Raw genomic sequence first — 27,934 nt, 5'->3', positions numbered from 1 at the left:
AAGCTCTGAATTTCTTTCTTCTACTTGTTCAATTCTATTGCTGAGATTTTCCAGAGCATTTTGCATTTCTAAAAGTGTGTCCAAAGTTTCCTGAATTTTTTATTCTTTTTTCTTTAAGCTCTCCATTTCCTTGAATATTTCTCCCTTCACTTCTTATATCATTTTTTGGATTTCCTTGCACTGGGCTTTGCCTTTCTCTGGTGCCTCCCTGATTAGCTTAATAACTAACCTCCTGAATTCTTTTTCAGGTAAATCAGGGATTTCTTCTTGGTTTGAATCCATTGCTGGTGAACTAGTGTGATTTTTTTGTGGGTGTTAAAGAGCTTTTGTTTTGTCATATTACCAGGGTTAGTTTTCTGGTTCCTTCTCATTTGGGTAGTCTCTGTCAAAGGGAAGGTCTAGGGCTGAAGGCCATTGTTCAGGTTCCTTTGTCCCACAGGGTGTTCCCTTGATGTATACCCTCCCCCTTTTCCGATGGATGTGGCTTCCTGTAAGCCAAACTGCTGTGATTGTTGTCTCTCTTCTGGGTCTAGCCACCCAGTGAGTCTACCCAGCTCCATGCTGGTACTGGGGGTTGCCTGCACAGAATCCTGTGATGTGAACCGTCTATGGGTCTCTCGGCTGTGGATACCAGCACCTGTTCCAGTGGAGGTGGCAGGGGGGGTGCAATGGACTCCATGAGGGTTCTTAGCTTTGGTGGTTGAAGGCTCTATTTTTGTGCTGGCTGGCCTCCTGCCAGGAGGTAGCGCTTTCCAGAGAGCATCAGTTGTGGTAGTATGGAGAAGAACTTGTGGTGAGTGGGGCCCTAGAACTCCCAAGATTGTATGCCCTTTTTGTTCAGATACCAGGGTGGGTAGGGAAGGAACATCAGGTCGGGGCAGGGATAGACATGTCTGAGCTCAGACTCTCCTTGGGCAGGTCTTGCTGTGACTGTTGTGGGAGATGAGGGTGAGATTCCCAGGTCACTGGAGTTGTGTCCCTAGGAGGATTATGACTGCCTCTGGGGAGTCATGCAGGTTGTCAGGGAAGTAGGGGAAAGCCGGCAGTCACAGGCCTCACCCAGCTCCCACACAAGCCGAAGGGCCAGTCTCACTCCCACCATGCCCCCCACCACAGCCCCAAGTCTGCTTCCAGGTGGTGGGTGAGACAGGCTTGAAAACTTGCCCCAGGCTACCCACCTCCCAGCTGTGAAAGAAAAGAGCTTGGTTCTTCCCCTCTGTGGATTCTGCACATGGGATTTGTGCCCTCTCCCAAGTTCTGGCCGGGAGGCTTCTTGCCCCATTGAAATAGTTACAAAGTTCAGCTAGAGATGTCCTTCTCCCTGTGGAGTTTTACCCGCTGCTCTTCTGGCTGCCCTTGCAATGGATCTCTGTGGTGACAGGCAGGAATGGGCTGCTTGGGGACCCAGCGAGCTCCCTGGGCCTTCCTGCTGCTTGCTCTACCCCTGTATTTCGCTCGGCTCTCTAAATTAACTCAGCTCCAGGTAAGGTCGGAAACTTCTCCCACAAACAGACCTTCAGTTTCTCCAGTGGGGGGGTGTGTGTGGGAGAGGAGGGTCTCCCTTTCCCACTTCTGCAGTTGGGCACTCACAGTATTTGGGGTGTCTCCTGGGCACTGTAGGAGCAGTCGCTTCCTTCAGAGGGTCTGTGGGTCCTCTCAGTATTGCTGGTTTGTTCTTGCAGTCGATCTGGAGCTAAAATTCGAGCACTGCCTTTATTAAAAAGAAAAAGATCTAACCAGGACTGTCCCCAGAAAATTAGGCCATATGGGTCCCACATATATGATAAAAGAAGAATAGGGAGAGGATAGCATTGACCACTGAATGAATTATTTCCAATTTTCATCATAACAACAGCTCAATAAGTATCCTACAATGAGATCAGTACACATTTCTTTACATTTAATGTAAATACCAACAGTGGTCACCTATCAACATCATGGAAGAGCACACTTCACAGGTTTCATAATCAAATTTTAAAATAATCACATGTAATAAAAACAAATGACTAAAATACAAAAATGTAATGTATTTATTTACTAAATGGTTAGCTATAAAGATACAATTTCTGCCTTGGAGTTTAAAGCAGTTTCATTTTTTGCCATAGTTACTTTTTCTGATAATATGCTAGAATCACAGTCTTCTCTGTTTTATCTGGATTGTAGGGATTGTTTACATTTTATATGTTTGTTCACTTGAGAACCAAATTTTTTTTTCTTCATGATGATGGAAGCTCTGTAATATAAAAATGTCATTGTGCTCATATATTTGAATAATACCGATCACGGTTTTCAAAGTCTCTGTGAGCATATCTTGCATAAGTCTTGTTATGTGGGATCCTTCCAAAAGGTTCATGGTCATTGAAACAAGATTCAAAAACTTCATCAACAGCCTTTTTAGCTACTTCTTTGCTGATATTCCTAACAGCCAGGATAGAAAGAGTGGCTCTGTCTCGCACACAAGTCTAAAAAGAAGGAAAAGTATGAGGCTCTAATTTTATATAAACATTTAATCACGAAATAATACATTTTATCTAATGTCTGAATTAATTAAAATTAATTTCCTCATATTATTTTACTAATTTCTGTCATTCCAAAGAAGAAAACAAAATGAACAAAGATCCATAACACTTAAGGAGTATTTTTAGCTCAACCTAAAATTATTTAGGCATAAGTAAGACCTTCTCCATTTTCTCATCTTTCCCACTGATATAAGCAGATGTCATTCTCAGAAATTCTTGGCAGTGTCTGCCAAACAATATCTCCCAATTTGCAAACTCGCCAAAAAAAAAAAAAAAGTCTATAAAGTCCTGATTGACTTTTTGATAAAATTTAATTAAATTTAAAATATACTTCACTTCTGTACCTCTCTTTCTTTTCAGTTGACCAATGCTAGATAACTTTTCCTTTGAGAAGGGTAAGTCCTCTCTGGAGGCAACAGGAAACCATACACATATCCACCCGAACTTGGAATGTACCTTAATTTTTTAGGGGGTGTGGAAATTAAACAACTTTTTTTTCCTGATTGTTCTTTACACAGATATTAAAGTTCTAAGATAATAATTTACCTAACATTTCATAGTAATAGGCTAGAATTTCTCAATACTCTAATTTAAATATTTAAGAAATATAAGGCCCTGCCATTCCAATTCTTGGAGAGCTTTTAATCCATTTATTTCTCCCCAGGACCAATCTAAAACTCAAAAGAATGGCATTTGACCTTTTCCTAAAAATAATCAAACACTGGTTTGGATGGCTGTGCATCCTGACAGCCATCCGTTTTCTCCACATGTTCCCAGTTTTTCATTGGCCTGGTCAGTGTGCTCAAGCTGGAGATATTCACTAACATTGGAATATAGTGTTTCTCAACCTGAATTTTACTAAACGCTGATTTTAAAAAATAAACCCCAGGCATAAAGGAACAAGAAAAGGAAGAACCATGTGAAGCCAAAACAACAGTTGCTAAAAAGAGAGGAAATTTCTCCCCTCCAGGGAAAAAAGGTACAAAAATTTGTCTCCTGAAGCCACAGGGTTGGGAGACACAAGTGTAGACCACAGATTTACTTCTTTTCAGACATAATAAATTTCTGTTAAAATAAAGATATGACTATGCAATTTTACAATCAGTAACTGTACTTGCTGTTTCTATTTCCTGGGTACATGCTGTACAAAAGCAGGGACTCCATTCTCTAAGACTCTTCTCCCTCAGCCAGATTCCTACTACCTCCACTTATTTTCTGTCCTATTGCTGTTTCTATTTGTTTTCTGCTGCTGCTACCCAATGGTAAAAAGAGGAAAACTTCCTCTTTCAAAGATTGTGTGCATCACAAACCTATCACAAAGATAGAAGGTGAATTAAAAAAAAAAAAAACATGCTCTATTTCTTTAGTATATCAACTGATTTTTTTTTAATTGGAAAAGAATATAAAATTAGCATATTTTTCTAAAAACAGAGTATATGTAATAGTTTTTTTTTTTAAGGAATTTTTCAAACTCTATTGACAAGAGCAGATATCCATAAGCTATGCCAGCACATGCTTTAACCACATTATTCTCTTCTCTAGGGGCGTGCTGATGTGTACCCTGCTTCCACCCTCTCCACTGACAGCCAGAACACACAGAATTCACCAGAGAAGCAGGGACTCAAGGGCACAGAAAACATGCAGCACAAGACAAGTCACTGGCATATCACTAAGCTGACCTGGCAGAGGCTGAACACCTCACTGTCTAGAGTAATCACCCTTTCCAGGCAGAAGGCTTTTCTTCTCCCTCCCATTCACTAAGTTCACAATTTCTGAGTAGCTCACTGTGACTTTCCACCCCCCACTCCAGAGTTGAGTTACTCTCTTCTCCAGAAAACCAAGGGCCTTCCTGTTGTCCTAAGCCTATCTTTTTTCATCTAGTTGGAACTGATATCGTGATGCTCATATACTTCACAAACTGACTCAGCAGGCTCTTACTGTAGAAAATGACTGACCAGCCTTTCTCCTAAATGTGGACACAGGCCCAGGCAGAACTGCTCACATTCATTATCAATCCATGAGTCCTATACTTTCTTTCCCCACGTCCACCTAATACAGATCTCAAAGCCTTTCTACCAGGATAATCTTGCCTTATAGCTCTCTTTTGTTTTTTGTTTTTGTTTTGTTCACACAAATCCCTCTCAGCTAAGCTCATCATACTCAAGTCTGTGCTAAGCCAAAGGTTTTCTATCACATTATATAGCCTTTACAGGTACACTGACACATAGCCATAACTTGTGCAGCAACACACTCTCTGTTCTGAAAGGGATTACATCTTTTGTCTCCAGAATGCTATGGTAGATTCAAAATAGAAGTCAAGAATTGTTAGAATAACAGTAAGACATGCTGTGATTTCACTTCCATTCCTTATCCACCCCCATCGAAAAGTATCCCAGATGCAAGATCTTAGCTCCTTTTTTTTTTTTTTTTTTTTTGAGATGGAGTCTCACTCTGTGGCCCAGACTGGAGTGCAGTGGCATGATCTCGGCTCACTGCAACCTCCATCTCCCAGATTCAAGTGATTCTCCTGCCTCAGCCTCCATAGTAGTTGGGACTACAGGTGTGCTCCACTACGCCCAGCTAATTTTTTTGTATTTTTAGTAGACACGGGGTTTCACCATGTTGGCCACGCTGGTCTCGATCTCCTGACCTCGTGATCCGCCCGCCTCGGCCTCCCAAACTGCTGGGAGGCATAAGCCACCGCACCAGGCCTCTTTTCATTATTAGACTATCTCACACACTCATTGAGTCACATAGCTTGCCCATAATTACAAAGTAGAACTAAATTCCATCTACTTTGTTTAAATGGTACATACTTTGTATTCTTTTCACATACGAAGTTCTTTCAAATTTCAAATACTGAATGTACTTTTCATTTCTTTATTCATTATTTCCACTCGTAACACTCTGGAGGGGAAGTGATTTCATATTAGTTTTTACCTGGTGGTGTTGTTTTAATCCAAAATGTAACCTGAATATTTCATTGACAAGTGAGCAGTCTCCACTAAGGTTAGCAGCTCGAACCTATCACACAGAAGACAAATAAAAAGAAATAAACGCTCATGCTCTATATATCTTTATGATATCAACCAATTTTTAAAAATTAGAAAAGAATATAAAATTAGCATCTTTGTCTGAGAAAAGAGTATTTGTGACACTTCTTCTTAAAGGACTTTTTAAACTCTATTGACAACGAGAGCAAATATCTATGAGCTATGCTAGACAATGCCAAATACACTGGAGAGATGGGGAAAAGTTCAATCGCCTACCAAAGGAAATTTTCTAAACTTTATGCGTAGCTTTACTGACAGAACTAATTTCTTTTGGAACCAAAAGTCAGAGAGCTAGACCTCAGAGTTAAACTACACACTCTACAAGATACAAATACTTGTAGAAATTGCCAAAAGTACTTCAAGAAAGCATTCTTGAAATAAACTGAGTTTCAATGTGACCTTAAAACTGAATGCATTAATATCTGAGACACTTTGAGAATATGCCCCTCCCAACCCTTGCCCGAATCTCCCTTGGAGCTTCCCTCAAACCTATATAAGTTCATGACCTTCCTCTAGGGACTTGATTGTCCTATGAAAAATGAAGCAATACAAAACACAAAGAATCAAGAACATTCCAAACTGGTCACGCTATGAGCATGACAGCCTGAAATTAGGACATATTTTCAGATTTACTATACTTCAATGAATGAAAAAGTCTTAGAACTACCCACATAGATTCTACAGGCAGCTTGACCACATTTTTGCTAATTCATTGCTAACAGAATGGCCCACTTCTTGTTCCTTCTTCAATATTATGGCCTCATTCCTCTGAGGAGCTCAAAGTACTTAACACACTTTAACTAGCTAAAAGGCATTAATTCTCACAGTACCCAAGAAAGAGACCTATTTAAAAATTCAGGTTTCAGTCTATTCTCCAAATAATTGGAATTATAATTAGATGCAGGGGGCTACATATTAATTTCAAGAGAAAGGGAAATAATCGAAGTTATATAGTATAGGCTTGAGATTTAGATTATTTTAATTAACTCTTCAATTAATGACATCCAAGTATATGCATATGCAGAATACGCTCTCTCTAGGAGCATATTCCAAGAGCAATCCAACGTGCTTAGTAATAAATATCTTTTTATGTTGTATTTTTGAAAAGAGCATGTTTTACTCTAGGGCAAGCAAGGAGCTCTATGGAAGGCAGCTGGGCAAGCTAGTTAAAAACACTAGTTGTAATCCTGCCTCTACCACTTACTAACTTTGGAATCTAAACAACTGTCTCACTTTCCACATATGTAAAACAGGGACAATAATAGTATAATATCTATCTCAGTAGGTTATTGTGAAGATTAAATAAGAATCTGTGCAAACAGAACAGTGTTTGGAACACAGCCCTCAGTAAATTTTAATTATTTTTTTATTTTTATTTTTATTATTAATGTCTCCTATGGAATACATTATAAAATATATTCCATAGGAAAAAATTAATAGCTTATTAAAGTCAGTCATCACTATTACTAGGACTTACAGGATATAGTTAAGAGAATTCTAAAAATACACTTTAAATTTCTCTAACTGTATATCAAAAATGGTATTCAATGTTAGTTATAAACCGAAATTCAAGACTAAGGTAGAACTATGACAGTAAGAAAAGGAATACATTTAAATAAATTACACTTGAATAAAATATTCAAGCATAGAGTATTCTGGAGAAAAATACAATAAAACTCACCTCTGAGCACGCCAAATGTCTGATGTTGGTGAACCAGTCGACATGGGCACGACAATGATCAAATGCATGAATAAGCTCGTGTGTGACCACTCTGTTCATATGGGCCTGATTATGGATATTATTCTGGCACAAAACTATCTAGGAGACACCAAAATAAAAGAAGTTCAGTGATTCTAAAATCTCCTTCCATAGACTCGATCTTCTCTCCCACATGACCTCACCTCTCCCCCACAAGCTCACCTGCCTGGAATATCTCTACCCACTCTTCTTCATTGGCCACACATCTACCCATGGGACAAGTCCTAGTCCTAAGTGTACATGCTCCAATTGCCTCGCCCAGTGACTAACTTCTCCCTTCTCCTCTCTCTGGACTACAGCAGTACTTAGATTAAGGACACGTATTCACACACCATCCTTACTGGGCTGATCGTACTAGTCTGTCTCGGACTCCACAGCATTATGGTTAAGAGAGTGGGCTTTGGAATGAAGCACACAGATTCAAATTCCAGCTCCACCCCTTACTAACTCAGTGACCTTAGGCAAGTTTCTTAATCTCTCTGTACCTCAATTTCCTCAACTATAAAAAGGAGATAATTAGGGTAGCTACCTCATAGAACTGTGAGAATTAAATGAGAATATATGTAAAATACTTCTTATCAAGTTTCTGAATGAGCATTGAATGAAAAAGGAATGACCACCACTGTCCTCATTTTACTAGAATGAGGGCAAATGCCAGGGAAAACTCATCAGAAAGACCTTCAGAAAGAAGTGCAAAACACAACAGCACACTGAGCAGGACCCTATAAGAATAAGAAAGACACAAGGGATCCTAATAGTAATAGCTGCCATTGATTGTGTACTACTGCCAGACACTGGGATATGTGCCAGATATTTATATACATTCATTCAACATCCATTGATTCAACTAATACTTATTGAGACCTAATAATAGATTATAATCTACTGATGGAGATAGAAACTAACCAAATATTTACCAAAATGTTTACATACATGCAATGACAGTTGTCATGAAGAAAAACCCAGGTTGTCATGAGCATATACAATGAGGTTGGGTGCAGTGGCTCATGCCTATAATCCCAGTACTTTGAGAGGCTGAGGCAGGCAGATTCCTTGAGCCCAGGAGTTCGGGACCAGCCTGGGCAACAGAGCAAAACCCCATCTCTATAAAAAAATAAAATAAAAATTAGCCAGGCATGGTGGCACATGCCTATAGTCCCAGCTACTTGGAAGGCTGAGGTAGGAGGATCACTTGAGCCCAGGAGGTTGGTGCTGCAGTGAGCCAGGAACACGCCACTGAACTCCAGCCTGGGCAAGAAAGGGAGACCCTGTGTCAAAAAAAAAAAAAAGAAAAAGAAAGAATGCCTGACCTACTCTGGAGGTGGGGGAAGGTTTCTCTGTGGAAGGAATGGTTAAACTGGTATCTAATGGAGGAATAGAAGTGAAATTTGAGGTGTGGAGGGGAAGGGAGTATTCTAGGCAGAGAGAAAAACCTATGCAAAGCGTAGAGGGAGGGTTGACGGAAGAAAATGCTTGAGAAGCTAAAAGGAGAGCCCTAGAGTTGAAGCACAGCGGTGGGGGTGGTAGGCAACAGATACGGCTGGTGAGGTCGGGGGGCCAAATCCCTGAAGACCTTGTCTTTACCCTAAGAGCAATGGGAAGCTCTCAGGATAAAGGGAATGTTGAAACAGAAGACTGCTTTTGTTTTATTTTGCTTTTATCCTTTTAACTATAGTTGGAAGAATAGGCAGGAGATGGCCAAAACTGGATGCAGAGAAATTAGCTGAAGGCTAATATTCTAGGCAAGAGAGAACAGCACTTCAGCTAGAATGGTGGTGGAAGCCAAAAGAGTTATTTAGGAGGTAAATTAGACAAAATATGTTGATAGAATACGGGGAAGGAATCAGGGGTATCAAAGATGATCCATAAATTTCTGGCTTGGCTAATAGGGTCGATGGTAGCACCATCCACTGAGATATGCAAAACTAAAAGACTGGGTTGAGTGGGGAGATGGGGGATGGTAAAAATCATGAATTTGGACTTACACATTTCAAGTCTGAAGTGTCCTTAAGACCCTTAAGTAGGTGGGGAGCAGTGGCTCTCACTTGTAATCCCAGCACTTTGGGAGGCTGAAATGGAAGGATCATTTGAGGCCAGGAGTTTAAGACCAGCCTGGGCAACATAGTGAGACCTCATCTCTACAAAAAATTTTAAAAGTTAGCTGGGTCCAGTGATGCACTCCTGTAGTCCCAACTACTCAGGAGGCTGAGATGGGAGGATTGCTTGAGCCCAGGAGTTCAAGGCTGTAGTGAGCCATGATTGCGCCACTGCACTCCAGCCTAGGCGACAGAGCAAGACCCTGTCCCAAAAAAACTTTTTTTCCTTAAAAATAAAAATAAATAAATAAATAAAAAGATGCTCAAGTAGAGGTGTTAAATGGGCACTTGGATATATGGAATGTGGAGTTCTTAAAAGTGAGCTTTGACCCCAGAAAATTGATGAGACCTCCTTGGCAGAGTAAGAAAAGAAGGGGCTCTATGACCAAGGATTGAGGGACTTTGACATTTAAATGCTAGTAGAGGAAGGTAAGCTAGCAAAGGAGCAACCAGAAGAGTGCTGTATACTAGAAACCAAAGAAAGTGTTTGGCATTAACAGCTGAAGTCAAGTGTATACAAACTATATGACCCAGTAATTCTGCTCTTGAGCATATACCTTAGAGAAACTCTTGCACATGTGCACCAGTAGCGAAGGTCAAAAATATTCATAGCAGCATTGTTCATAATAACAAAGTTGGAAACAATCAATATTAGAGTAAACTATAGTATAAACACACAACGGAATAAATACCATATAACAGGGAAACGAAATAAACCAGAGAGGTACACACAACAACAAGAAAGAATCTCACAAATGCTGAAGGTGGAAAGTAATTGGAGACTATATACTGTACAATTTCATAATACTACAAAATGCTACATAAAATTCAAAGTATAACATGTATAAAGCTCAAAAGCAGGCAACTAAATAACACACTGTTGGATTGTATATGTAGATGGTAAAGCCATTCAGAAAAGCAGGGAATGGTTACCACAAAAGTCAGGATAAGGAAGGGAAAAGGACCTGATTCAAGAGGACCACGAAGGCTTCTGAAGTCCTAGTAATGTTCTTTTTCTCTAGTCTGGGTGGTGGTTACATAGGTGTGCACTTTATTATTACTGAAAGTGTACATATAGATGTTTTACTCTTCTGTATGAATGAGATACTTCATAATAAAAATTTTCATTTAAAAAAATAGGCCAGGCACAGTGGCTCACGCCTGTAATCCTAGCAGTTTGGGAGGCCAAGATGGGTGGATCACCTGAGGTCAGGGGTTCAAGACCAGCCTGGCCAATATGGTGAAACCCTGACTCTACTAAAAATACAAAAATTAGCTGGGCATGGTGGCACATGCCTGCAATCCCAGCTACTCAGGAGGCTGAGGCAGGAGAATCACTTGAACCCAGGAGGCAGAGGTTGCAGTGAGCCCATATTGCACCACTGCATTCCAGCCTGGGTGACAGAGTAAGACTCTGTCTCAAAAATAATAATAATTTAAAAAATAATAATAAAATAAAAGGAGAGGGTGCCCAACTGTGTTCAACACTGCTGAGAATTAGGATGAAAGTTCAAGATGTGCACTCTGTTTAACCCTGGGGGGACCGAGAAGGGAGTGAACTTATCCAGAGCCATTTTGAGAGCTATAGGTATTGTGATTACCAGTTTACAAATGAGGAAACTGAGAAGAAGAAAAATAACTTGCCCAAGCCCCACAGATAATAAGCAAGGAAACTAGGATTTGAACTCAAGTCTGACTCCAAAATCTAGACTTCTCATCCTTGTTCTATATTGCCACTTCACATGATTACTGTAAAAATGCTATAAATAACCTAAATACATACAAAATTATCCAGCAGGAAACAGTTAAGTGTAGTTAAGTATGAATTATACATTCAAGTGGGAAACAGTTACTTATAACACCATCATTTACCCTGATCACATGACATTATCTACCACCTCCAAGACTCTGTCGAAACTCTCTGATGACTTAAAACTAATAATAAAATTTATTGAATGCTTACTATGGGCCAGGCACTAAGATAAGCAACTCTATAAGAGATATCTCATTTAATTCTCATAATCATTCCATAAAATAGATACAATCGTTGCCCAAATTGTACAGATTAGAAAACTCCCCTAATAAAAAATTTTCACAGGCAGTATCAATTCTCACCACGTAAAGGTAAAAACCCTTTAATTTAGCATTCAAAACCTCCCACCATAGGGCTTACATTTCCTTCCAATCCTATTTTCCCTCATTCCCCACATGTTCCTGCCCTCCAGATAAACTAGACAATATGCCATTCCCTACACATGCCATGCAGTTTCGTAGCATGCACTTTTGCTCATGCTGCCCCTGCTCTGTCCCTGCTCTGCCCCTAAGGAGGCTTTATATCCTCTAGTCGAATCTGTTGGCATCTTTCAATCGATCACATCACTGTTCCATTGTGGTAACCAAGCCCACCTAAAATGGTTTAGCTTGCCTCATTTTATAATTATCTGTGTTCATGTCTTATCTTTCCTGTAAGGCTGTAAACTCCTTAAGAGATTTTAAGAGTAAACTCCTTAGAGTAAGGATAACTAATTCACTTTTTTAGTCCTACATAAAGTCTACCAAACAGAATGCCGAGCATGTGGAAGATGCTCAAAAAATATAAAGAGAGAGGATTAAAGGGAAGGAAACAATTTGGCAATAATGCCTACCTGAGATGTTGAAGCATCAAAACCTCCACTGACATTTCCATTACAGTCTTCGCAAGAAAAGTGTCTATCTTTGTTAACAGCACTAAAAGGCAAGAAAAGGAGACAATGTCCAGAAACAGTGTGTATGTGGCAAACAGCCCTGGGCCAGGGCTCAGGAGACCCTCCACCATATAGTAAATCCCCTCTACTACTAACACATAGGAAATCTTGGGAAAGAAACAACATCTTCAGGACTGTTATCTCACCTGTAAAATAAGGAGGTTGTACACAAAATCCATTCTAGTTCAAATTCTATAGATATGATTCCATAAAACATTTGTCCCCCAGGCGCGGTGGCTCACGCCTGTAATCCCAGCACTTTGGGAGGCCGAGGCAGGTGGATCACCTGAGGTCGGGAGTTCAAGACCAGCCTGACCAACATGGAGAACCCCCCATCTCTACTAAAAATACAAAATTAGCCGGGTGGTGGTGGGCGCCTATAATCCCAGCTACTCAGGAGGCTGAGGCAGGAGAATCTCTTGAACCCGGGAGGCGGAGGTTGCGGTGAGCCGAGATCGTGCCACTGCATTCCAGCCTGGGCAAAAAAAAAGAGCAAAACTACGTCTCAAAAAAAAAAAAAAAAAAAAAAAATTTGTTCAACTGATTATGGCCATATTGCAAGTATGCTGGAGTTCCTGCCCTTGGGCCAGAATGTTAAGAAGTGGATGTCAGAAGTCACTTCCTTTAAACCCCTCAAAGTTATACAACATCTGCAAGGTTCCTACATAACAAGCTGAGATTTCTTTTCCATTAAAAACAGTGCTCAGGCTGGTGTAGCAGAAAGGCCAGGCTTGGTAATTACTTACAAGAAAATTTTGAGTACTGTCTTTATTAATCACCCAAGGTGAATGGTAAGAACTAGAAAATGAGCTGGGCTGGCGCAGTGGCTCACACCTGTAATCCCAGCACTTTGGGAGGCCGAGGTGGGTGGATCACTTGAGGACAGGAGTTCGAGACCAGTCTGGTCAACATGCTAAGACCCCATTTCTACTAAAAATACAAAAATTAGCCGGGCATGGTGGCGTGCGCCTGTAAACCCAGCTACTTGGGAGACTGAGGGAGAAGAATTGCTTGAACCTGGGAGACGGAGGTTGCACTGAGCCGAGACAGCACCAACGCACTCCCACCTGGACAACAAGAGCGAGACTCTATCCCCAAAAAAAAAAAAAAACATGAGTTAGGGCAGAAAATGTCCAAAGAGAACAAGGCCAGCCCGGAGACAATGCAGCCAATTACCTCTATTTACCCTATGGAAAAGACTTTGTGACCTCAGAGAAATCTTAAGCAGTTCTCTTAAGAAGAGAACTTGGTTTTTGTTTTCAGCAGCCAGACCTCAGAGCAGCACTTCAAAAAGAGTTACTTACCAACCTGAGTGTTTCATAGCATCAAGCAGAAGTTTGACATATGGATCTAAAAAAGATATTGATTTAATTAAGTAATTGGAAAAGTAGCACCAATTAAACTACCCAAATAGCAGTGTAAGATATTATCAAAAAGTAACTCACAGGCCAGATGCAGTGGCTCATGCCTGTAATCCCAGCACTTTAGGAGGTTGAGGCGGGTGGATCATTTGAGGCCAGGAGTTCAAGCCCAGCCTGACCAACATGGCAAACCCCGTCTCTACTAAAAATACAAAAATTAGCTGGGCATGGTGGCACACGCCTGTAGTCCCAGCTACTTGGGAAGCTGAGGCATGAGAATCACTTGAACCCAGGAGACAGACATTACAGTGAGCTGAGATCACACCACTGCACTCCAGCCTGGACGATAGAGTGACTCTGTCTCAAAAAAAAAGTAATGTTATCTTAAAATTGGTAAAAATTGACATGAGAGGCCAAGCTTAAATCAACATCAAAGCAAGTTTGTACTGAAATAAAACACTAATACAAATACCAAGATGGTACTACTAAGCATCTTAGACAATATCAACTATGCTTTTAAAGTTCATTTTTAGTTAAATGATCAAACACGTTGTATTACGGTATATACCAAAAGACTGAGGGAATCTAGGGCCACATTCTTAGAAGTGAACAACAGCACAGTACCTAGATTTGAGGAAGCCAGTAGCCACACTGTTCTGTCCTGATCAGATCATACCGGCAATACCATGTCCCATGCTGAGTACTACCACCTTCTAAATTGGACCTGCCACTGAAGCTCTTCCACAGGGGATGGTGACTAGGGTACTACAGACTATTTCCAGTAAGAAGCAAGAAAGGATTTGGGGGGTTGGAAAGGAGACAGAAGACTTAACTAGGACCACACTACTTTCAAGTATTGAAGGGGTGCCATGTGGGACTAGATTCAGTTAATATTTCTTCAAAGGGCAGAACAAGGACCAAAGTATGGAAGTTACATGTGGCAGATTTCAGCTCAGTATGAGAAAGGATTTTTCTCCAACAATTAAAGCTGGTGAAACAATAGACAGTAGATTGAAAGAGCCTCAAGGAACAGGTAACTGTATTCCAGGAGAGGTCTGTAGAGTATCTGGCCAGCAATAGCACAGAGGTTTCCCTGTAAGGGGACGGGGAGGCCTAGACGATTCCTGAGGGCCCTTCCACATCTAAGACTCTATGGGCCCGTGACTACTACAGGAAAGTACAAGGAGCCCAAATGCCTCTGATATTAACTTTTCACATAGGCATCTTGTCTGAGAATATAAATGCACAGCCAATTATATGATGTAACCCAAAAAAAGTGAAAAAGAAACTAAGGTTTAAAAAAAATGTTGAAGGCAAAAATAGGTGAGAAAAAGAAATGTGAGATGAGAAAGTCAGGTATAGGTTACTGCTTTACCAACCTGCCCCTTGCAAGAGTGTTCACAGTAGAATAATTATTGTTAACAATACGTATTATTGAGTGAATACCAGGTAGCAGGCACCATATTAAGCACATTATTATTCATGCAACTAGGAGAATTTTACAAAATTAAAACAGTTTCAAAAGTCTGTAGTCCTTGTACTTAAAAAAAAAAAAAACCATGGTTTAGTACTTCAAAAAGGACCTGCAGCAATATTTAGAATAAAATTGCTTTGGTGAAAAAAAAAAAAAAAAAAGAGACTCCCATGAGGTCTGGTTTCCACCACCACGCCCCACCCAGGGATAGCATTTTAAAGCTGCAGGTTGACACTTTAATACCACCAAAAGACCCTCCCAGCCACCCTGCCCTTGGAAGATCAAGGTCCATTGATTCCTACTGGGGCTCATGTTCAGCACCCCACCTTCCTCACATCCTATCTATTTCCACTCTTCCTCCACTGTGTGGCCCTTCCACTGTAAAAACAGCTACCATTTATTCAGCTCAGCTCCTGATATGCTGGTACTTTACATTCATAAAATCAGTACTTTTTTTTTTTTTAGACAGGGTCTCGCTCTGTTGCCCAGGCTGGAGTGCAGTGATGCAATAACAGCTCACTGCAGCCTCAGCCTCCTGGGTTCAAGCAAATCTCCTGCCTCAGCCTCCTAAATAGTTGGGACTGCAGGCATGAGCCACCACATCCAGCTAATTTTTTTTATTTTTTGTAGAGACAGGGTCTCCCTATATTACCCAGGCTGGTCTTAAACATCTGAGCTCAAGCAATCCCCCTGCCTTGGCTCCCCAAAGTGCTGAGATTACAGGCATGAGCCACCGTACCCAGCCCCATAAAATCTATTCTTCACAACAACCCTAAAAAAGGTATTTTCCCCTTCTCTTTTTTTACAATAAGGATAGTGAGGATCAGAGAAGTTAAGTCACCTTCCACACCTGAGGAAAGGGATCCGCATTTGAACCCACATCTAACTCTGCAACCCATACTCTTTCCACTCTATTCCACTTTGAAGCACCTTCAAGGCAGGGTGCTAACTCATCTTTCTACTTCCCCCACCAGAACCTGGGAGGCACTCAATACATATTTGTACAGTAAATACAATATCATCATTCTCTCCCCTTTTACCCTCAACTCCCCTTCCTCCTCCTACCTCCCTGAGTCTCTACAAGCAGGTAATCCCAAGAAGGTTGGAAAATCTTTCGGTGGTTGACTTTTGAACTGTGACTGACTAGCTATGAAATAGTAACCTTGCTTTGGGACAAGTATGTTTAAGACTAATTTTCTGAATGTATCTGAAAGTAAACTTAAGAAGTCTATGTCAATGTAAAGGAATTAAGAAATCTTCTCTAGTGCAATGTCTCTGGGACGGGAGAGAAATTTGTCAATGGGCAGTTGTGTCCCTGTTTAACCCACAGCAGTTCTTAACCTTTGTGGGGTCGTTGGCCTCTTTGAGAATATGATGAAGCTATTAACTCTCTCCCCCGACCAAAAAAAAATACACTTTGGGCCGGGCGCAGTGACTCACGCCTGTAATCCCAGCACTTTGGGAGGCCGAGGCAGGCAGATCACGAGGTCAGGAGATCAAGACCATCCTGGCTAACACGGTGAAAACCCGTCTCTACTAAAAATACAAAAAATTAGCAGGGTGTGGTGGCGAGCGCCTGTAGTCCCAGCTACTCGGGAGGCTGAGGCAGGAGAACGGCGTGAACCCAGTAGGCGGAGCTTGCAGTGAGCAAAGATCGCGCCACTGCACCCCAGCCTGGGCGACAGAGCGAGACTCCGTCTCAAAAAAAAAAAAAAAATGCACTTAGGGGCACACACACACACATACACACGATTTCACAGACCATTTCAGGGATTTCTACGCTCTGAAGCCCATTCATGCATGAACCACTTCCAAGGAACGGTAGGTTTGCAAAACTGCTTTTATATTTTTACAGCCTTGGTATGCCTTAATTACATTTTTACATTTTTACAGCCTTTGTGTGCCTTAATTAACCTGGCTGGCACTTTAAAACTTGGCCTCACCCTTACCCTGAAGTCACAGTGTGGCTGCATAACTTATGTAAGAAATCGGAGGATCTGTCACAACAGTGAGTGACAAAAAAGGGCAGACAAATTCATTCCACAAGCCAAAAACAGCGACGAAAAGGGTCTCAGCGCCACCTCTAGTGGGGAAACTGAGCCTCAGGCTCCCAACCCAGCCCCCATGATGCCCAGTCTGTCTAGACTCTGTGCTGAACCTGAAGCCCCTGGCCAGGTGTTGCCCAGGCCCTTCCTCGCCCACCCGGTCTCAGACCCATTCTGTGGAACCACAGCCTCCAGGTCATGGCTCCTACTTGTCTCCAGCGTCTTCAGGAGCCTAAGCTGGCACTTCTGGTTGCTGGTGAAGAAGCTGGAGAAGAACCCTTGCTGGGGATTCCCCTGGGCCAGACGCTCGGGGAAGACCTGGCAAGAGACGTGTTGCTGCTGCAGCTGCTCCCCTGCCGCGGGGCCCCGCCGGCGCTCGTCCGGAGCTCCCGCCATGCCTCCCGCAGACCTCGCCGCTGCTTCCTCCTGGCTCAGGCGGCCAGAGCGAGACTGGGAAAGGTAACCTCCCTCCCGCCAACGCGACCGCCCAGGCCCTCCCTCCGCAGGGAAGAAGGGCAGCCTGGCTGGGCTGAAGACGTTAGGCGGGAGGGGGCTTTGAACCTGACGGGGAGCGCGGGAGGCGGGGCGAGAGGCGAGGGGCGGGGCGAGAGGCGAGGGGCGGGGCGAGGGATGAGGGGCGGGGCGAGGGCATGGGGCGGGGCGCGGGGCCCGATGCTGTTGGGCGGAGCTGGGTCTTGCGACTTCCCTCAAAGGCTGTAACAACCCGGCTGCCGCGGATTTCGCTGCTGCCCTCCCAGTGTGGGTGACATGTCTTTATAAGCGTTGTTCTGCAGCTTCCTGCTGCCTGCTGAGCTCTAAGGGTGTCCCGCCTCCTCGCAGACACTCCTTCCTCACCTCGGGGCGAATATTGGCCACTAACTGCTCTTGTGCCGCCGAAGGTCTCGGCCATCCTCCCACTCCCTGCCTTCTTCCGGGGCAAGCCAGTTGTCATTTCTGGCCCGCCACTTTCCCGACCCCTGCCATCCCTCAGATCCACTCTGCCCAAAGATGCCTCTGGCCATATTGAAAGCAGTGTTTTTCAGAAACGTTTTAAAACTATAAAGAATGACTAGTCACATCAAAATCCTCAAAATGTAGGAACCAACTACATTTTTTCTTCCCACCTGTACCCATTCGTTTACCCTACTCTTCTGCCCCACCCCCCACCAATAACTCCCTGATAACAAAGCGCACCCTGTTTACTTCTACCTCTCAGCCTTAACTCATACTGTCATTTCCATCTTTAAGCTCCTTGCCTCAGCCCCTATGATTGGGGCCCAGGTCAAATCTGCCTACTCCACAGGGCATTCCCAGATACCTTAATCAAAATTAATGTCTCCTGATCTCCCAATGTACAAAGCACTTTGTACCTGTTAATCATTTTCATCGTAGCCTGCCAGGTTTTATCCAATTTGTGTGTTTCTCTTTTCCTACTAAATTATTCCACTCAGCTCACACATTTATTCAGCACCTACTATGATGGGCCAGGCAAGGTGTAAGAGACTGAGGAAACACATGACTAAGAAAATTGCTAAAGATGAAGAGCAGCATGTGGTTTATGTAAGAAACATATCTGAAAAATATAGGCTCAGCAGGCCTTTAGGGTTATGAACAGTGCTTTATGTGTCATAGATGCTCAATATCTAAATTGAGTGGGATGCTAGGATAGTCATTCATCTGGAATATTATAAAAATACAAACAACTCCTATGTACATAGACTATTAAAGCCAGAAGTCAAAAAAAAAGTAACTACTTTTTAATTAAATTCACCTTGGATACATTATTTCCAATCCTCACTACAACCCTGCAAAGTAAGTATTATCTCTAATTTGCAGATAAAGTGGGCTCAGCAAAATTCAATAATTTATCTAGGACCACACAACTAGCTTTCAATCCAGTTATTGAACTAAAACACACATATGGAAAACTAAGCCATTACAATTCAGTGTGATTAGTTTGGAATACTGAAGGCAGGCTAGATATGCCTAGAAATGGACCATAGCCTATATACATTTGAAATACTATTTGGATTTTTTTCATGCTTTCTTTTTTAATACATAGATTCAGGTGGTTTATGTGTAGGTTTATTATACAGATATATTGTGTAGTGGTGAGGTCTGGGCTTCTAGTGTACCCATCACCCAAACAGTGAACATTGTACCCAATAGTTAATTTTTCAACCCTCACCCTTCCCCTCCCACTCTCCCCACTTTTGGAGTCCCCAGTGTCTATTATTCCCCTCTGTATGTCCACGTGCACTCAGTCTTTAGCTTCCACTTATAAGTGAGAACATGGGGTGTTTGATTTTCTGCTTCTGAGTTATTTCACTTAGGATAATGGCCCCCAGCTCCATCCATGTTGCTGCAAAAGACATGATTTCATTATTTTTATGGCTGCATAGTATTCCGTGGTGTATGCATAACCACATTTTCTTTAACCATCTGTTGGTGGACACTTAGGTTAATGGTTGATTCTATGTCTTTGTCTTTTTGTCATAACAATTTCTTCTTTTTTTTTTCTTTTTCAGAGACAGGTTCTTGCTCTGTCACCCAGGCTGGAGTGCAGTGGCGTAATCATAGCTCACCACAGCCTTGAATTCTTGGGCTTAAGCAATCCTACCACCTCAGTCTCTCGAGTAGCTAGAACTACTGGCATGCACCATCATGTCTGGTTAACTTTTTAATTTTTTGTAGAGATGGAGGTTTTTTGCTATATTGCTCAGGCTGGTCTCAAACTCCTGGCATCAAGTGATCCTCCTGCCTCAGCCTCCCAAAGCTCTAGGATTACAAGCATGAGCCACCACACCCAGTCACAATTTGTTTTCCTTTGGGTAGCCAGTAGTGAGATTGCTGGGTCAAATGGTAGTTCTATTTTTAGTTCTTTGAGAAATCTCCATACTAGTTTCCACAGAGGTTGTACTAATTTACATTCCCACCAACAGTGTATAGGCAATCTCTTTTTTCTGAATTCTCATCAATATCGGGTTGTTTTTTGACTTTTTAATAATAGTCATTCTGACTGGTGCAAGATGGTATCTCACCGTGGTTTTAATCTGCATTTCTCTGATGATTAGTGATGTTGAGAAGTTTATCATGTTTATTAGCCACTTGTATGTCTTCTTTTGAGAAATGTCTATTCCTGTCTTTTGCCCACTTTTGAATAGGGTTATTTAGTTTTTTCTGGTTGAGTTCCTTGTAGATTCTGGATATTAGTCCTTTGTTGGATGCACAGTTTGTAAATATGTTCTTCCATTCTGTAGGTTATTTGATTCTTTATCTTACTATGCAGAAGCTTTTTAGCTTAATGAAACTCATTTGTCTGTTTTTGTTTTTGTTGCATTTGCTTTTGAGGACTTGCTCATAAATTATTTGCCTAGGTCAATCTCCACAAGAGTTTTTCCTAGGTTTTCTTCTAGGGTTTTTATTGTTTCAGGTCTTAAATTTAACTCTAATTCATCTTGAGTTAATTTTGGTATATGGTGAAAGAAAGGGGTGCAGTTTCATTCCTCTGCATGTCTATCCACTTTGTGTAGCACCATTTATTAAATAGAGTGTCTTTTCCCATTATATGTTTTTGTTGTCATTGTCTAAGATCAGTTGGTTGTAGGTATGTGGCTTTATTTCTGGATACTATTTGCAATACCCTTCAGCTACAGGAATAAGTAAAAACGTACAAACCAAAAGCTGCAACATTTCCTTACTAAATTAGCTAAAACTGTTTCAATACTCATTGTTGAAGAAACAGATGGAAAAAAATTCATACCACAGTATCAATGGTTGTCTAGGTATTGGAATTTTTTTGTTACATTCTCCTGAAATTTTCTAATGTTCCTCAATAAGCATGTATTACCTTTATAATCAGAAAAATAAACTTTAAAAAATCAAGTGGGCTTTGGATGCCATGTGTAACTTCATCTGTATACAGTATAAAGACATAGGTATGGAATAAAAACACATTAAGGAAGAGATAATGAACAGCAAATACAAATGAGTTTTAAAAAGAAAAAGAATTACCACAAAGAAATTAGAGCAAGGGCAAAGATTTAGCTATAAGGATTTTCATTTCTCCATTGCAGCACTAATTGAGAGCAAAAATGGCCAGGCCAGTGGCATGTAATCATAGCTATTTGGGAGGCTAAGGCAGGAGGACTGCCTGAGCCCAGAAGTTCAAGACCAGCCTGTGTGATACAGCAAGACACCTCCTCCTCAAAAAAAAGGGGCGGCAGGGGAAGACATCAATTGTTTAAATATCCAACAAGAGGTATAATGGAATATATACAACCATGTTAAGTGTCTTTTTTAAACAAAATATGTTCATTAAAAGTTTTTGGGTGTTTTGTTTTGTTTTTTTGTTTTTTTGTTTTTTGAGCCAGAGTCTTGCTCTGTCGCCCAGGCTGGAGTGCAGTGGCGCCATCCCGGCTCACTGCAACCTCTGCCTCCTGGGTTCAAGCAATTCTCCTGCCTCAGTGAGCTGGGATCGCGCCACTGCACTCCAGCCTGGGCGACAGAGCAAGACAACAGCTCAAAAAAAAAAAAAATTCAGGCTGGGCGCGGGTGGCTCATGCCTGTAATCCCAGCACTTTGGGAGACCGAGGAAGGCAGATCACTTGGGATGAGGAGTTCGAGACCAGCCTGACCAACATGGTGAAACCTCATCTCTACTAAAAATACAAAAATTAGCTGGGTGTGGTGGCGCCGCCTATAATCCCAAGCTACTCAGGAGACTGAGGCAGGAGAATTGCTTGAGCCCAGGTGGTGGAGAGGTTGCAGTAAGCCGAGATCGGGCCACTACACTGCAGCCTGGGCAACACAGTAACTTTGTCTCAAAAAAAAAAAAGTTTTTTAAGTTCCAAACTAGCATATACAGTATGATTCCATTTTGAATTTGTACTTACTATAATTCATAGAAAGGGTCTGGAAGACTCCTACAAAGTATTCACATTGGTTGTCCTTAAATGGGTAGGATTTGGAGGTTTTGTGTTTTGGGGGTTTTTTTGGCCTTCATTTTCTAAAGCAAAAATAATTGCTTTTTTAATGGGAACTAAATTATTTAAAATTGTATAAATCTATCACAGTAACAAATAAATTACATATAATTGTAAAGAGTTTACCACCTGTCAGCTGTGAAAGTTGATCATATAAATCGGGTCACTTTTGTCATACCAGTTAAAGAGTGGAGAGGCCAGAGGGAAAAAACATTCAGGTCACAAATATCACTTGAAAAATATAATTCTCTACAGGCCTGGCTGCTGAAACTGCCTGCTAACACTTAAAACCAATTTAATCTAAAGGCTACTAAGACAGTCTGCTACAATTCTAAGACTAATTTTACCCACCACCGTCACTCAGCAATCAGTTTGCCAACCCCACCAAAACATTAATAGTGCCAATAAACTCTCTTGGAGACCAATACGTAACATTTCTCCTTCTTATAAAGTCTCTAACCTCTTCACTCTTCAGACATCCCGAAGACCACCCCAGTCTACATATATGCCCCAAATTACTATTTTCTTCCCAAATAAAGCATTCTAATTTCAAAGATTCATCTCTATATTCTGACTTAACAGCTTTTAACACTTAATGCTGTTTTTTAGTTGACAAATAAAAATTATATTTATAGTATAAAACATGTTTTGAAATATATATACATTGTGGAATGGTTAAATAAAGCTAACATGTACCCTTCGGCTTTTTAAAAACTAACGTCCAATTCATCCAATTCCGTGAGAGTAAAGCCTTTGCTTAGCTTTCCAGTCCTGTTAAACGGGGGGGAAACAACAAAAGGGTCCTCAGGGCCCTGCCCAACAATACGCCACATTCTGTCTAGTAAAGCCACACAGCCAGAAAACGCCAGGTGACTGGCAGGCAGATACTTCCGGAAGAAGTCGGCCCTCCGAACCCGGAAGTGAAGCGATAAGACGCACGGTGTTCTGGGAGGAGTTACGCAGGCAGGGTTGTGGTTGCTGGCTGTTACCAGGACAACCGGAGGCGATTGACCGTTATCTGCGGTTTGGAGCCGTTAGCGGGAGAGGCAGAGATATTCAGAGGTCTTTTAGGATGCGCTAAAGGGTCGTGAGGGCTCTCTTAAAATTTTCTTCACAAGCGGTTATCCAGTCGTGCCCCGCGGCCCTGCTGCTGGCCCCGGGGATCTGAGTCGTACCCTCTTGTTTTTCTCTGAGTCAGTCTTAAGGTGAAATGAAGTGTGGCCCAGTGGCTCCTCACTGTCGCTTCTCTAGTTTTCTGCCTCCTTTTAGAAAATGTAAGTTGAGAATTTCTAATTTACATCGGGATGTGTTCTAATGCGCTTGTTTTTAAAACTGTGGAAAATTTTTAAAAGAAAATAAATCTCACCAGTCATCCAGCTACCCAGAAGTAACATTTTCATGCATTACCTATTAATTTTTTTCTCTGCATATTTTTTCATAGTTGAGATAATTTAGGGAAAACCATTTTGTGTCCTTCATATATGGATGAATACAATATAATTTTGGTATTAATATCATAGCAACAAAGAAGGCATTGAAGGCTTTAAATCTGTTTACAGTGAATTGAAAAGACAGGATGAAGTGGACACAGCATGTGAAGACAATTCTTTCAAGAAGTTTGGCTGTCAAGGAAAACAGAGAATGTGAGTAGCCAAAGCAGAATGACAGTGAAAGAAAGAAATTGGGAGCCAGACAATACAGCCCGACAGTTTACGCCTGTACGGATGTACCTCTTTCACAAAAGATTGAGTATGCTTGGGGAAAAAAAATACACACTATAATAGGAGAAAATGATGAAGAGAAACTGAGGTAAAGGTAATTGGAAAACAAAATAAAGCCAGGGGTATATTAATACCCCAAAACTTCATACCAAAAGGTCCGTGTATTTACTAGAGGGGTGCCACAAATTGGGCTCTGAGGTTCCTAGCAATTAAACCAAAGGGAAAATATAAGTTTAACATGATCCGTATGAGGGAGGAGGCCTAATGGCATATTATAGAATCCTGTTACACATTAGCTGTATGAAATTGATTGGGTAATGTAAGCTCTTTAGACCTCATTTCTCCGTCTCTTAAAGAGTGGGGAGAGGAAGCAGGAGACTGTTAGACGAGTTGATCTTTTAATATCTCTTCCACTACTGACAGTCTATGATCATATAGGCCAGAGACGGCAAACTCAGATGCCTAAATTAGGGACTAAGAAAGTTTCATAAGTGAGGAAATGGACTGAATGTGACAAAAGCAAGGAGTGATAGAGATTGGAATGTTAGAGTTGATTGAGCTGTCCCATCTAAAACTCCAGCCAATTCTTGCAAAAATAAGGACTCAGTGTTGCCTGATTTTTCAGGAGAAACAGGAAAATCATATTTTTGATAATATTATACAAAACAAAACACCTCTACTAGCTAGATACAATTTGTGGGTCACTAATTTTCAACCTCTGCTATAGGTGAAAGGACCTCAACAAGAGGGATAATTGCTTGAATTAAAGAATTAAATATGAAAAAGAGGAAGAAGTCAAAAAGAATACCAAGATTTCCCCTTGGTAATAAGAAGGAGTTAGTAACATTGATACTAAAATCAGCAGAAGGTTTGGGGAGAGAAGGTGCTTTATTGTGAGTTTCTTGAACATGGGGCAAACTTATTTATGTGTATCCATAGCACATGAATCCAATTCAGCTGCTGGATTTGAGAAATCTGTGGGATTTATCAGGGGAAAGGGCGCAGGAATGTAGGTCAGGAGTTTGGGGAAAGAAGATGAAAAAGGAGTTTAAGATGTAAGATTCATTCTTTCAATAAAGTTTTATTGATTATATATCACAATATGTATTTTCACGAGACTCTAAACTGTCTGAGGGCAGAAAGCACGGGGTTTTTTTTAACCACTTACCCAGCTCCTAGCACAATACATAGTCAGTGCTTATGTATGTTGAAAAAACAAATGAAAAAATACAAAACACTGTGCTTTACAGTATAGGAGATGCAGAGTTGAATTAGAAAATCTTAAGGGAACAAGAAACACTGGGGTCTGCTTGAGGGTGGAGGGTGGGAGCATGCAGAGGAGCAGAAAAAATAACTATTGGGTACTAGGCTTAATACGTGGGTGATGAAATAATCTTTACAACAAACCTTCATGTGTACCCCCAAACCTAAAATAAAAGTTTAAAAAGAAGAAAATCTTCTTAAAGAAGTTTATAGAGCAGGGGCCCCATCTCCTTAAAAAAAAAAAAAAAGAAAAAGGAAAAGCGACTTTATAGGCCAGAAAGTAAGACAAGTCTTAACACATAAGGAGCTAATGCAAGTTTTAAAGTAGTGCCATTAAAAAAAAAAAAGTACCATGGGATTCAGAAGGGAAAGATCTTTTTAGAAGAAGTTAAGAAGTTAAGCTCTGTCTTTCTAGATAGTGGACAGTTAGGATTAGATCACACAGGTGTTGGGAGAGGAACTGATCAGAAGCAGTTAAATAGAAGATGTAGGCTGGGTGTGGTGGCTCACACCTGTAATCCCAGCACTTTGGGAGGCTGAGGTACGTGGATCACTTGAGGTCAGGAGTTTGAGACCAGCCTGGCCAACATGACAAAACCCCGTCTCTACCAAAAATACAAAAATTAGCCGGGTGTGGTGGCGCACACCTGTAATCCCAGCTACATGGGAGGCTGAAGCAAGAGAATCACTTGAGCAGGGGAGGCAGCCACTGCCCTCCAGCCCGGGCAGCAGAGTGAGACTCTTGTCTCAAAAAAAAAAAAAAAAAAAAAAGTGTATACCCTTCTTTTGAAAGTATTTGAAACTGCCAAAAAAAAAAAAAAAAGAGTGAATAGTGAAACAGTTTGAAGCCAGAACCTTGAGAATCACCCACATATAAAGAAGGTGAAGAAGAAAAACCAACAAAGTAAACAGAGAAAAAGTCATCAGAAAGCTAAGAGAAACATCAGGAGAGTGGGTTTCATAGGAACTAAGATTCCGGGTTTCAAGAAGGAAAGTTCTGTCAATATTGTCAAATACTACAGAGACAGCAAGCCATCAAGGAGGGTCCAAGTTCATTGGATTTGATGATTAAGGAAATCACTGATGACTTTAAACAATTGGCCAATGAATATAAGAAGAGGAGGTATAAAAAGCAGTAGAATTGAAAGGCTTGTTGATTTGTTTAGGGAGGTGGGGAATGGGGTTCCTTAGGAGCAGGGGAAAAAAATAAAAGACAAGATTAAGCTGCAAAACAGGACAAATTTATGAAGCAAGATTTTGGAGAATCTAAGCAGTGATGAGATCAAGAAATGGAGGAAGAGTAACATCAAGAATAAGCATTATAATTCTAACAAATATTGTTCAATTACAAGTAACTTTTTAATGTCTATCATCATGTTTTCTTGCCCAATGGCCTGGTTTCTTTTCACCTTTAGCCCTAAAATAACTTCATAATCTAAAAAATAGTATTAGAACTTCAACTTAGTAATATTTCCTAATGTTGCTTTTAAATCCTCTTTTTATAAACAGGTATTATCAGCAGGGCGTGGTGGCTCACACCTATAATCCCAGCACTTTGGGAGGCCAAGGCAGCCAGATCACCTAAGGTCAGGAGTTCAAGACCAGCCTAGCCAACATGGTGAAACCCTGTCTCTACTAAAAATATAAAAATTAGCTGAGTGTGGTGATGGGCGCTTGTAATCCCAGCTACTCAGGAGGCTGAGGCAGGAGAATCACTTGAACCCAGGAAGCAGAGGTTGCAGTGAGCCGAGATCGCACCTCTGCACTCCCACCTGGACAACAGAGCGAGACTCCATCTAATAAATAAATACATAAATAGGTATTATGGTGTATAATTCCTGATTTTTCGGTTGCTCCACATCCCTTTCAGGAAACCACCACTCACCAGCCTTAGCTGGTTCAAGTGAGGCTGATTCCCAACTGCCCACACTGCCCCCATTCCTACACTTGATTCAGACCTGACCAATGAGAACCATCATTGGTACTTTTGCTGGTACTATTTATTTATATATATATATTTTTTTTGAGATGGAGTTTCGCTCTTGTTGCCCAGGCTGGAGTGCAATGGCGCAATCTTGGCTCACCACAATCTCGGCTCACCACAACCTCCACCTCCCAGGTTCAAATGATTCTCCTGCCTCAGCCTCCCAAGTAGCTGAGATTACAGGCATGCACCACCACATCCAGCTAATTTTTTTTTTTAGTAAAGACAGGGTTAATCCATGTTGGTCAGGCTGGTCTCGAACTCCCAACCTCAGGTGAACCACCCACCTCAGCCTCCCAAAGTGCTGGGATTACAGGCGTGAGCCACCGCACCTGGCCTGCTGGCACTATTAAAAAAAAAAAAAAAAAAAAAAAAAAAAAAACTCTCCCTCTGATGTTATATTGCAGGTGCTAAAGAACATACAGACACAGAGCAGACAGGCCACCTTTGCAACCACATGGAGGTTTGTCTGATATTGAAGCTAAAGAAGCTAAGCTGGAAGACAGAGAGACCAAGTCCTGATGACATTGTTTGAACCCAGAGATCCAGACATGCCTGAAAACTAGTTTTACCACTGGACTTATCCGTTGAATGAGCCAATAAACTCTCTTTTATACTTAACCTTGGGTTTTACCTGGATTTTTGTCATTGACAGCTCAAAATATTCTAATATAGAAGTATACATCATTAAATCAACATTTCTTTTTTTCTCTGTCTTATTTTAAATGTAACTCTATAAGGTACTCTAAAAGTATTCTACAGTCTCACTAAGTTAATCTGCAAATTTGGTAAAATTCCAATATTAATCCCAAAAGTATTTTAAGAGCTTGTTTTTGTTGTTTGCTTGTTTGGGACTAAACAGAATTACTCCAAAATTCATTGAGAGAAAAAAAAACATGAAAAAAAAAACAAGAAAATAGAATTCATAAA

The 27,934-nt window shown here is 41.2% G+C and overlaps 1 protein-coding gene and 1 long non-coding RNA gene across 7 annotated transcripts, besides 4 other annotated features; one reads left to right on the top strand and one right to left on the bottom strand.

Moving 5' to 3' along the window:
- On the bottom strand, positions 1-17,582 carry ATP23 (ATP23 metallopeptidase and ATP synthase assembly factor homolog). Of its 6 annotated transcripts, NM_001320410.2 has the most exons (7): positions 17,261-17,582; positions 13,476-13,521; positions 12,073-12,154; positions 8,265-8,435; positions 7,254-7,391; positions 5,460-5,543; positions 1-2,462 (listed from the first exon to the last, which is right to left on the bottom strand). In NM_001320410.2, exons 5-7 carry the CDS (start codon positions 7,350-7,352, stop codon positions 2,259-2,261), a joined length of 387 nt encoding a protein of 128 aa, NP_001307339.1. In that variant the 5' UTR covers positions 7,353-7,391; positions 8,265-8,435; positions 12,073-12,154; positions 13,476-13,521; positions 17,261-17,582; the 3' UTR covers positions 1-2,258. The 6 variants fall into 6 exon arrangements, with proteins under 6 accessions (NP_001307339.1, NP_001307337.1, NP_150592.1 ...); NM_001320408.2 differs by lacking the exon at positions 8,265-8,435 and having other exon boundaries at positions 17,221-17,582; NM_033276.4 differs by lacking the exon at positions 8,265-8,435.
- Positions 16,278-16,447: an enhancer, noted in NCBI's record as "experimental_29909 CRE fragment used in MPRA reporter constructs". NCBI's record gives its function as "activates a minimal promoter by MPRAs in K562 erythroleukemia cells, with activity observed for both the introgressed and non-introgressed 12:58336570 variant alleles {active_cell/tissue: K562}" and the evidence as "EXISTENCE:reporter gene assay evidence [ECO:0000049][PMID:34662402]".
- Positions 16,904-17,713: an enhancer, noted in NCBI's record as "H3K27ac-H3K4me1 hESC enhancer chr12:58335219-58336028 (GRCh37/hg19 assembly coordinates)". NCBI's record gives its function as "activates a minimal SCP1, AML or CMV promoter by ChIP-STARR-seq in primed H9 embryonic stem cells {active_cell/tissue: H9 hESC(primed)}" and the evidence as "EXISTENCE:reporter gene assay evidence [ECO:0000049][PMID:30033119]".
- Positions 22,559-23,059: an enhancer, noted in NCBI's record as "H3K27ac hESC enhancer chr12:58329873-58330373 (GRCh37/hg19 assembly coordinates)". NCBI's record gives its function as "activates a minimal SCP1, AML or CMV promoter by ChIP-STARR-seq in naive H9 embryonic stem cells {active_cell/tissue: H9 hESC(naive)}" and the evidence as "EXISTENCE:reporter gene assay evidence [ECO:0000049][PMID:30033119]".
- GIHCG (GIHCG inhibitor of miR-200b/200a/429 expression) lies at positions 22,985-27,700 on the top strand. Its single transcript, NR_038269.1, has 3 exons — positions 22,985-23,310; positions 23,596-23,679; positions 27,412-27,700. It is a non-coding gene; the product is annotated as a GIHCG inhibitor of miR-200b/200a/429 expression (long non-coding RNA).
- Positions 23,060-23,560: an enhancer, noted in NCBI's record as "H3K27ac hESC enhancer chr12:58329372-58329872 (GRCh37/hg19 assembly coordinates)". NCBI's record gives its function as "activates a minimal SCP1, AML or CMV promoter by ChIP-STARR-seq in naive H9 embryonic stem cells {active_cell/tissue: H9 hESC(naive)}" and the evidence as "EXISTENCE:reporter gene assay evidence [ECO:0000049][PMID:30033119]".
- Positions 27,701-27,934: the final 234 nt, after the last annotated feature.

The sequence above is a fragment of the Homo sapiens genome, chromosome 12 (genome assembly GCF_000001405.40).
Source record: "Homo sapiens chromosome 12, GRCh38.p14 Primary Assembly".
NCBI lineage: Eukaryota > Metazoa > Chordata > Mammalia > Primates > Hominidae > Homo > Homo sapiens.
The sequence above is the reverse complement of the archived record's forward strand: the minus strand, read 5'-3'. Positions and strand labels throughout refer to the sequence as shown.